We start from the raw sequence: 12027 nt of genomic DNA on the forward strand, positions 1-12027 counted from the left end.
AACCATCATGGCATATGTATAACTATGTAACAGACCTGCATGTTCTGCACATGTATCCCAAAACTTAAAGTAAAATTTAAAAAAAAAAAATGTATGGTAAGAAACCATCATAAACAAAGTAAAAACACAAATGACTAAATAATAAAAAAAGAACTAGCAATTAATATCACGGACAAAGGGTTAATAGTATATAAAAGACTTCTGAGACTGGACACGGTGGCTCACACCTGTAATCCCAGCACTTTGGGATGCCAAGGCAGGCGGATTGTTTGAGGTTAGGAATTTGAGACCAACTTGGTTAACTTGGCAAAACCCCATCTCTACCAAAAAAACAAAAAAAAGCAAAAAAAAAAAAAAAAATGGCGAGGTGGCATGCATCTGTGGTCTGTGGTCCCAGCTACTCAGGAAGCTAAGGTGGGAGGATTGCCTGAGCCCAGGAGGCGGAGGTTGCAGTGAGCCAAGATTGCACCACTGCACTCCAGCCTGGGTGACAGAAGAAGAAGAAAAAAAGGCTTCTGGAAATAGATAGAAAACAGACCAACAGCCTAATGGGAAAATAAAATGCAAATATTTTACCACCATATAAATATACTCAATCTCATGCATAGTAAGAGAAATGAAATAATATGGTACGATACTTCTCACCTGTTAGATTATCAAAAATTCAAAATCTGATAGCATTCTCTGGAAGTGAGATGATGTGAAAATAGGCATGCTCGTATTTGTCTTGTGAAGGTTTGGCAATAACTAGCAGCATTATTCTTTGACTCAGCTATCCCAATTCCATAAAATATCTCAAAGATACTCAGGTAAATATATGAAAGATATTGCACAAGACGATTCATAAGAGTTCTATTTGGGAAAAAAACTAAAAACTACAACAACACTGGATACAACCCAGGTGTCCTTCAATAGGGTACTGGTGTATAAACTGTGGTGCCTTCCCATGATGGAGTACTATGCAGCTGTCAAAAGGAATAAGGAGTGTCTCTATAGGCTACTATAAATTAATCTCCAGTAGATATTGTTAGGAGACGATAAAGCAGTGGAGGAAAATGTGTACAATTGTTCTGCAACAATGTTTTAAAAATCCAGGATATAAATATTGAAAGTATATTTGCTTACACTTTAAAAAACGACAGAAGAATAGAGAGAGAGGAGATGAGAAAACAGGAAAGAGGGACTTCTGTCAAAACATCAAATTGTGCATTTTAAGTACATGCAGTTTATTTATTATATGTCAATTGTAATTTAATGTAGCTGAAAAAAAAAGAAAAAAATAATGGAAGAATCAACCACATTTGGTTTTGTTGTTGTTGTTGTTGTTGTTGTTGTTTGAGACGGAGTCTCACGTTGTCACCCAGGCTGGAGTGCAGTGGAGCGATCTTGGCTCACTGCAACTTCCACCTCCTGTGTTCAAGCAATTCTCTGCCTCAGCCTCCTGAGTAACTGGGATTACAGGCGCCCACCACCACACCCAGTTAATTTTTGTATTTTTAATAGACATGGGGTTTCACCATCTTGGCCAGGCTGGTCTTGAACACCTGACCTCATGATTCCCTGCCTCAGCCTCGCAAAAGTGCTGAGATTACAGGCGTGAGCCACCGCACCCAGCCCATGTTTGTTTTTTAAAAATTGACCCATAGAGGATGGAGGGAATAGAATAGAGAAGATAGAAACAGACACTAGATTATTTTTGAATGTATCTTTTTCTGTAGCTTGGACTTTGCACCCATGTAAATATTTTACATACTTATAAAAATATTAAATTTTTAAAATCTCTCAAAATCACTAAAACCACCACCACAACAATGGAATCTAACTGTATATCCAGGCATAACTTCAGAGAAAGTAACTATCCCAAGGCCAAAATGTTTTTTTCAAAAACCTGTTAAGTTTGTTTGCAATAACTACACTGTTGTTATTAGTATTGGCAATATTATTCCAAGATTGTTGTGCAAGCATTAGGTAATAAAGAAAATGAGTAATTACATCAAGGAACTGTTATTTTTGGCAAGGAATAAAAGAGATTTAGGAAAAAGATATGAGGTTAAGTAAAAATCCTGTAATTATCAGTAGAAACGCTGATGTACTTTATCTTTTAAGCAAATATTTTCTAGTTGTGGACACTGAAAAAGTTGAGAGAAAATAATCAATTTAGTAATACTCATCATTTTTACATTTCAATCTTTCGTCCCAAATGCCATATTCACTACAAGGAACAGGGGTTCCTTGGAGAAATGGCTGAATATAAGTGTGGGTAAGGAAATATACAAATGAACCTGGAATATCTTATTATATATATATTAAAAAAAATCTACTAGATTCACGTCAAAAGTAGCCAGAGACCAACTTGAAGTTTGTTATTTGAGCACCAATGGGGATATGAACTGGAACCCACAGGTTCATATTGACAGGAGTTAAAAAAAATACTTTGGTCAGCTTTGAATGATGTTCCATTAGCAAGATTAACCAAGAAAAGGGAGAAAAAATCTAAATAACCTCACTAAGAAATGAAATGGGAGCTATTACAACTGACACCACACAAATACAAAAGATCATTCAAGGCTACTATGAACACCTTTATGCACATAAACTAGAAAACCTAGAAGAGATGGATAAATTCAGGGAAAAATACAACCCTCTTAACTTAAATCGAGAAGAATTAGATACCCTGAACAGACCAATAACAACCAGTGAGATTGAATGGTAATTAAAAAATTACCAACAAAAAAAAGTCCAGGACTAGGCAGATTCACAGCAGAATTCTACTAGACATTCAAAGAAGAATTGGTAACAATCCTTTTGACACTATTCCACAAGATAGACAATTAAGGTATCCTCCCTAATTCATTCTATGAAGCCAGCATCACCCTAATACCAAAACCAGAAAATGACATAACCAAAAAAGAAAACTACAGACCAATATCCTTGATGAATATAGATGCTAAAATCCTTAACAAAATACTAGCTAACTGAATCCAACAACATATCAAAAAGATAATCCACCATAATCAAGTGGGTTTCATACCAGGGATGCAGGGATGGTTTAACATATGCAAGTCAATAACTGTGATACACCACATAAACAAAATTAAAAACAACAATCACATAATCATCTCAATAGATGCAGAAAAAACATTTGACAAAATCCAGCATCCTTTTATTATTAAAACCCTCAGCAAAATCAGCGTACAGGGGACATATCTTAATGTAATAAAAGCCATCTATGACAAACCCACGGCCAACATAATACTGAATGGGGAAATGTTGAAAGCATTACCTCTGAGAACAGGAACAAGACAAGGGTGCCCACTCTCCCACTCTTCTTCAACATAGTACTGGAAGCCCTAGCCAGAGCAGTCAGACAAGAGAAAGAAATAAAGGGCATCCAAATCAGTAAAGAGGAAGTCAAACTGTCCCTGTTTGCTGACAGTATGGTTGTTTACCTTGAAAACTCTAAGGATTCCTCCAGAAAGCTCCTAGAACTGATGAAAGAATTCAGCAAAATTTCCAGATATAAGATTAATGTACACAAATCACCAGCTCTTCTATACACCAACAGCGACCAAACGGAGAATCAAATCAAGAACTCAACCCCTTTAACAATAGCTGCAAAAAAAAAAAAAAATACTTAGGAATATACTTAACAAAGGAGACAAAAGACCTTTACAAGGAAAACTACAAAACACTGTTGAAAGAAATCATAGACGATAGAAACAAATGGAAACACATCCAATGCTCATGGATGAGTAGAATCAATATTGTGAAAATGATCATACTGCCAAAAGCAGTCTACAAATTCAATGCCATCCCCATCAAAATACCACCATCATTCTTCACAGAGTTGGAAAAAACAATTCTAAAATTCATATGGGACCAAAAAAGAGCCCACATAACCAAAGCAAGACTAAGCAAAAAGAACAAATCTGGAGGCATCACACTATCTGATTTCAAACTACATTCTAAGGCCATAGTCACCAAAACAGTGTGGTACTGGCATAAAAATAGGCACATGGATCAATGGAACAGAATAGAGAACCCAGAAATAAACTCAAATACTTACAGCCAACTGATCTTCGACAAAGCAAACAAAAACATAAAATAATATTCTTATTAATTTTTCTCCACAGTTTCTCTCATTAATTCCATAGTGGATTAGAGTATTTGATTATTGGCTTGTCTTATTTTTATTCTTATATTAACTGTAGCTTCTGTATGTGAAGTTTTATCTCTATATTTATGTGTTGATTGTAGCCTTTAGCATAATACTTTTTCCTACTTTGTCTTCTGTAATGCTTTTTGTGTAAGTCTAACTTGTGGGATAGAAGAATTGTAGCCCCTGCTTTCTTCCATTTGCATTTTCATATATGTATCTCTGTCTTTACCTTTTCACTTTTAACCTTCTGATGCTTGTTGATTCACTTGTGTCTCTTTATAGACAGCATAATGCTGAGCTTTCCTTTTCATAAGCCAATCTGAAAATCTTTTTTTAAAGTCAGTTGAGCCTATTATATGTATGGATATAATCAATATGCTTAAATTTAATTATGTCATTTTTATTATACTTATATATAATAATGATATATAATAAGTTATCTTCTATATTTGTTAAATATTTCTCTTGCCTGTCTCTTTATCTTTCTATCTCTCTGTCTTTCACTTTTAAAATTCTAATCTTTCACCTTTTAAATTCTCTCTCTTTCTCAGTATGCCTTTTGGTATTTAGGAATGTTTGTATTTTGTACTAACGGTTACCTTTATATACCTCATGAGCTCTATTTTTTAGCTACTGTCAGTTGATTCTCTGCTTACAGAAATATTGAAATTATCTGGTTACCTCTTTATTCCTCACTCCCTGAGCATGAGATTTGAATTCCTGGTTAATATCTATAAGGCAATCAGCAAACTTCTACTTTATATATTTGCTCTCCTTTTCCTTCCTGTTTTGGTAGTTGTGCTGTATCAACATTGTCAGTACATAGCTGTTAGTTATCACACTTCCTCTCTTAGGCTTATCGTTCATTCTGTTCTTAGTTCCAAAGGATATATATCGATCCAGACCTCATGTAGATGTCCTTCCAGTATCTTTAGTCATCTGATTTTATGAAGTTCACTTGTTAATAAATTCTTCAGGATCCACCCATGGTGGAGAATATTCACTGAGTTTTTTCATGTTTATAATAGTTTGTTTGTGGCCTTTATACCTGAAGTTCAGTTTGGCTGAATTTAAAATCTTTGCCTCACATTTTCTTTCCTTGAGCATTACTCTATTATCTTCTGACATTTTCATCAAAATGTGTGAAAACAAGCTCGTTTTATTTCCTTCTGGTTGACATGGACATTTTGCCTGGATGTTCAAATGATTACTTTTCTTTAAATAATTATTATGTTTTTCTTTAAAATTCAAGGCTTTTATAACATTATGTCTCAATTTTGACCATTATGAGCTTATTTTTCCAGAAGGGGTAGCTATACTTATAACAGATAAAACAAACTTAAAATCAACAACAGTAAAAACAGAGAAAGGAGGTCATTATATAATAATAAAGGGATCAATTCAGCAAGAAGATATAACAATTCTAAATATACATATTAGTAAGAGAGTGAGCTTAGTAAATTTGAAAGTCCCTTTGCCACCTGTCCTTTTTTGTGCTCTGCTGAAGCAGCTGTGACCATGTCCGGGATCATTTCCTACTTTATTTTCTTATGGAGATGTTGGGGCTCAGAAAACAAAACCCCAAAATATGATTCTTTGGTACCTTGATTGGGGAATTGTGGGGAACAGCAGCTATAAGCAGAGGTTTTCTCTGAGGTTCCCGTATCTGCCTGAAGACATCCAGGAAAGATATATAACAGGAAAAGAGGCTAAATGTTGACATCACCCCAGAGCGGCTTTGCCTGAAAGACTTTACCTACATAGCAAGACAGCCTTTGTTCACCATACATTTCTTTCCCTCACCTTCCCATAGCTTGTGGACACCTCCCCTAAGAATCCCCAAGACCCTATTCTGATGCTATACAAACTTCAATCATTGGCCCTTCTTCAAGTCTTATAGTTTGTGAGGCTCTGCACATGCATGTAATAAATTTGTATGCCTTTTCTCCTGTTGATCAGTCTGCTGTCACTTTTTTCCAGAGACTCAAATTCTCACATCTAGAGAGTAGAGGGAAGTTTAAAACACACCTATACACTATACACGAAATTAGATCATTACGTTTTTCTGGTTAAATATTTTAAGATGTAGGAAAATATTATTTCCCTTTCCTAGTGTGTTAAGATTTTCCAATCTGGACTTTCTCACAGAATTATCTTGCCTATTTCTTTGTCTACTGTGTCTTCTCAAGATGGCCCATCACATGGATTCAGTCCGGTATGTACCTGTGATCTGTGCATCACGCCATGATCCTGTTTGGGCAAATTGTTCTCATGATGCCAAGATCTCTTTTGATGTCAAAGAGAAGCAGAATTAGAGTAGGGAAATAAAAAGAAACAAGCTCATCTTTCTGAGTTAGTTACCGGTGAGCAATGAGGAAGACATATCCTATTTGTGAGTCATAAATGCTCATTAGATAGTGGACTCTCTAGACTTCTTCAAAGTATGCACCAGGTATCATTTCCTTTATTCAATTTGAAACTGTTAACAATGACTCATTGTTTTAAAATATGAAAAGGCATTTGGAGCTACTCTGAATAAACTTTCACTGGCCTAATATGGGACTTGGGCACCAAAATGAATATTGGCAGTAATAGATTACAACCCATCAAATAAAATTAAGGATTGATGAGTCCATATTGATATGAATTAAATGGAGAAGTTAAAAAAAGGAAGATGAGAAAGTTATCCATGACAGTAGAATGTCAATGAGTAAATGTAGAAGGAATAAAGGAGTTTCAAATCACCATTTACAGCCATTATAATAAAACTTGATCAAGTGAATATCATCAATGAATGCTATAACTATTGGGTGGAAGTTTAATGGGGAGCAGGATATTTGCACACTTCAAAATATTTTCCCAATAACTGTTTATTAATTTCAAAGGGAAAATGTTAACTTTACTGTGAAGAAACTTGAGAACATACCCTTCATCACAGGATCAAAGTTAGCAGCATTAATAATGGTCAAACTAGCATGTGTCTCCTGAAGTCACACACTGAAAGGACACATTACTTATGCAATATTTCTGTTAAAATGCAAAACCTGAATATAAGCATGAGGAAACATCAGATAACCTCAGACTAAGAAATACTCCACATAACGACTGGTCTGCTATCTTCAAAAATATTAGCACCATCTAATATAAAGACAGTCTGAGCAAGTATTTCAGGTCTAAATAAAGTAAGGAGATATGATAGCTAAATGCAATGTATGAACATGGATAAAAATTGCTTTATAGGATATATTGGAAAAATGGCAACATTTGGATATAGCATGTATATTAGGTAATAATATTGCATCAACATTCAGTTTAATTGATATCTTTACTGTGGTTATACATGAAAATGTCCTTAGTCTTAGGACATAAGTCTATCTCTATCCATGTCATCTCTCTAGAGAGAGAGAGAAATCAAATGTGGCCAAATGTTGAATCTAGGTGAAGACTATATGGCATAAGGAATTCTTTACTCTTATAACTATTCTGTAAGTTTGAAATGTTTTCAAAAATGAAAAAAGTTTAAAAATAAAACGAATTAGGATTGAAAAAGTATTTTTTCTTTGGCGTGTTAAAAGAAACATTTAGGCAAATTAAATTTAACAGATTTTAATTCATCAAAGAATAATTCATGAATTGGGAAGCTCCCAGACAAGCACAAGTTCGGAGCAACTCCTTGGCTTCCATTTGGTTAAATAACATTTATGGATAGAAAAAGGAAAGTGATTTGAGTAGTTGCAACTGAGACCATATGATGTTCTACTAAATATCTGAAGATTAAGATGAAGAATTGAGTTATGATCACATACCTCAATTATTAAAAGTAGCCCTAATCTAAAAAAAAGAAAAAAAGAAAAAAAAAAGGAAAAGGAAAGTGATGTACAGAAAACCAAAGTGAGGGACAGAAATAGCTGGGCTCGTTAGAGCTCAACGTTTGCTTTAGTTGAACATGGTTTAAACAGTTGGCCCCTGTGATTGACCAGAACTGGGCTGCCGTGGACTTGGATACTTGTTGGAAAGGTAGGTTACAGTTTGTTTACATATCCAGTTAGGTTACAGTTTACTATGCATGGAGAAACGTTTATGCCAAGCCTAAAATATGTAAAGAGGCAGCTTTAGGCTAAACTTAATTTAACAATTCTTAGTATAATAAGAGTGAGGAGTTTGGGTCTTTTGGAGGAAATGCTGAAGTATATAATAAAATTTACTTCATAGGAGCATCTACTATAAAAACCCTTTAAAAATATTTCTAACACAGGAAATCTTTCATCTCCTTGGGTCTCTGAAAATAAAGAACTTCTGGCAATGTAGCTGACTGAGTTGATACTGACAGACCCACTTCCTGGTATGAGTAAGTATAAATTCTTCAAAGATTTTTTAAAAAATTCAATCGTAGTTGAACTTGAGAAAAGTAGAGAAAAATTCTCATTTGTCAGAAACTAAGAGGGAACTCAAATGGCAAACACTAGCTGATGTCCTGTGGCCTGTGGGAAGGTTTGGCATCCAGTTAGATGCCCTCAGAACTGGAGGCTGGTGGTTAAAACTCAGGCAGGTACAAGAAATGGGACCTGAAACTATCACCAGGCAGGATCTAGGAAGTAAGACCCTTATATAAAGTTTATATTCTTAAGAACGCTGTTTGGGCAGATTGTTCTCATGATGCCAAGATCCCTTTGATGTCAAAAGAGAAGAATGTAAACTTAAGGTTTACATTCTGAAAGCATTTTTGTGCATAAGATGGAGACAAGAAAACCTTAGTCTGCCTACAGGAATTTTATGTGGTAATAAAGTCATGAACAACTAAACCATGCAATATCACCAAGCTTCTTAATTCACACTGTATGCATAGTGGAGGAACCTCAAGGTGAGAAACTGCTGATACTAAATAGTGCATGTCCTTGAAATAATCAGAAACAAAAGCAAAAGGAATAGCACACAGAAAGAACACCCCAAAAAGAAAAAAATATAAAAATAAAAAAGCATTAAGCACAAGGAAAAATAAACCTCTAAGAAACCACACACAGATTGCATGGGATCCCCCACAGGGGTCAATTTCTGCATAAGATAAATGCATAGGCAAATATTACAAAATATGTAAGAAAATAATTTATCATGAGTAGTATAGTAGACACAGGAAAAGGGAATATAACCCCTGGGAATTGAGATAACTGAAAATTCTGAAGGAGACTATATATAAATGGGTTTAAAAGGTAAACAAAAAATGGAAATCGGGGGGTTGGGGGCAAGGGGAGGGAGAGCATTAGGACAAATACCTAATGCATGTGGGGCTTAAAACCTAGATGATGGGCAGGGTGCAGTGGCTCATGCCTGTAATCCCAGCACTTTGGGAGGCTGAGATGGGCAGATCACGAGGTCAGGAGATCGAGATCATCCTGGCAAACATGGTGAAACCCCGTCTGTACCAAAAATACAAAAATTATCTGGGCATGGCTGTGTGCACCTATAGTCCCAGCCACTTGGGAGGCTGAAGCGGGAGAACTGCTTGAACCCAGGAAGTGGAGGTTGCGGTGAGCTGAGATCGGGCCACTGCACTCCAGCCTGGTGATAGAGCAAGACTCTGTCTCAAAAAAAAAAAAAAAAAAACACCTAGGCGATGGGTTGATGAGTGCAGCAAACCACCATGGCACGTGTATACCTATGTAACAAACCTGCACGTTCTGCACATGTATCTCAGAACTTAAAGTATATTAAATAAAAATTTAAAAATGAAAATCATAATGAAGAAATGGAATATAGAAAATGACTGATTTGGAAAAGAACAATGTAGAATTACCCTTTGTTGGGACCATCCTTCCTATCACTTTCCTTTTACTTGAAGCCTTTCTTTTGTTTTTTGTTTTTGTTTTTATTTTTATTTTTTGAAACAGAGTCTTGCTCTGTCGCCCAGCCTGGAGTGCAGTAGTGCAATCTCAGCTCACTGCAACCTCTGCCTCCTGGGTTCAAGCAATCCTTCCACCTCAGTCTCCTGAGTAGCTGGGATTACAGGCGCCTGCCACCATGCCCAGCTAAGTTTTGTATTTTTACTAGAGATGGGGTTTCTCCATGTTGGTCAGGCTGGTCTCCAACTCCTGACCTCAAAGTGACCCACCCACCTCGGCCTCCCAAACTGCTGGGATTACAGACGTTAGCCACAGCTCCTGGCCTAGTCTTTTTCTTTTGGCAAAGTTTTCTGTTAACCTATTCTCTCATTTCTGTTTTCCTGAAAATAACTTAATTTCATTATCTTTTTTGTTTCTCTGGGCATATAATTCTCTATCGGCAGTGTTTCCCTTCACAAGATGTCTCTTCATCGTCTTCTCACTTCCATTATTTCAGTTGAGTTTTAGGCTTCCTGTTCTTTTTGTAAAAGTGTATGTTGTTTTTTCCCCTGTTGCTTTTACTTATTTTATTATTTTATTATAAAATTATATATATATAATTTAAGGTGTACAATACAATGTTTTGATATACATTGTAAAATGATTACTAAAGGCAAGATAATCAACATATTCATTGCCTCACATAGTTAGTTGCCTTTGTGTGTGTGTGTGTGTGCATGTGTGTGTGTGTGAAAACACTTAACATCTACTCTCTTAGCAAGTTTCAAGCATACAGTACAGTATTATTAACTGTAGTCACCATGCTGTACATTAAATTTTTAGAATTTATTCATTCTACATAACTGGAACCTTGTACCCTTTGACAGATATCTTCTAATTTCCCTCACCTTCCTGCCCCTAATAACCACCATTCTACTCTCTGCTTTTGTGAGTTTCACTTTTTTTAAGGTTCCACATATAAGTGACATCATGCAGTACTTTTCCTTCCGTGTTTGCCTTATTTCACTTAACATAGTATCCTCCAGGCTCATCCATCTTGTCACAAATGGCAGAATTTCCTTTTTTAAAGCTGAATAATATTTCTTTATATGTATGCTTTAACATATATTAATATTATTATATATGATGTGTGTGTGTATGTGTGTGTGTGTGTGTATATATATGTGTGTATATATATATATATATATCTCCATTCATCCTTTAATGGACACATACTGAATCCATATCCTGGCTATTGAGAATAATGTTGCAGTAAACATGAGGTGCAGATAACTCCAGGATACTGATTTTTTACCTTCAGATATATACCTAGAAGTGGAATTGCTAGATTTTATATGGCAGACCTATTGTAATTTTCAAAGAAACTTCCATACTGTTTTCTATAATGGCTGTATCCATTTCTTGTTACGTTTATGATTTTCTTTTTATCTTTGGTTTTCAACAACTTTCCTTGATGTGCCTACATGTTGTTTTTCTTTTTATTCACTCTGCTTGGGTTCAGAGATGTTCTAGAATCTGTGACTGGAGGTCTGTCATCAATTGTCTCAAATTGCCATCCAGTATCTCTTTGTTTATAACTTCTCCATTCTCTCTTCTCTCTTTCTGGGACTCCAATTTACATGTATGTTAGACTTTTCACTATGCTCCAAGTGTGTCTTATGCTATTTTCTCCATTTTAAAACTTTTCTTCTCTCTGCATTCCAATGTGAATATTTTCTACTTCCATTTTGCTGTTCCTCTCTCCTGTCTAATCTTCTGTTAAGCTTATTTATTGAATTCTTAATTTCAGTTTTTGAGTTTTTTGGTTCTAGAATTTTTACTGAACTTTTTAAAAATAGATTCTACTTCTTTAATAAAATTTACATTTTTAATCTATTATTTCAAACATATTAATTGTAAGTATTCTAAAGTCAGTGTTAGTACCTGTATATAGATCATCCTTGGCTCTGTTTCTATTTTCTTTTTTCTTCTTGATTTTGCTCATTTAGTCATTTTTTTCTGGCATACTTGGTAATTTTTTTAATTGAATGC

This window comes from Homo sapiens, chromosome 17 (assembly GCF_000001405.40).
Source record: "Homo sapiens chromosome 17, GRCh38.p14 Primary Assembly".
In the NCBI taxonomy this organism is placed as follows: Eukaryota; Metazoa; Chordata; class Mammalia; order Primates; family Hominidae; genus Homo; species Homo sapiens.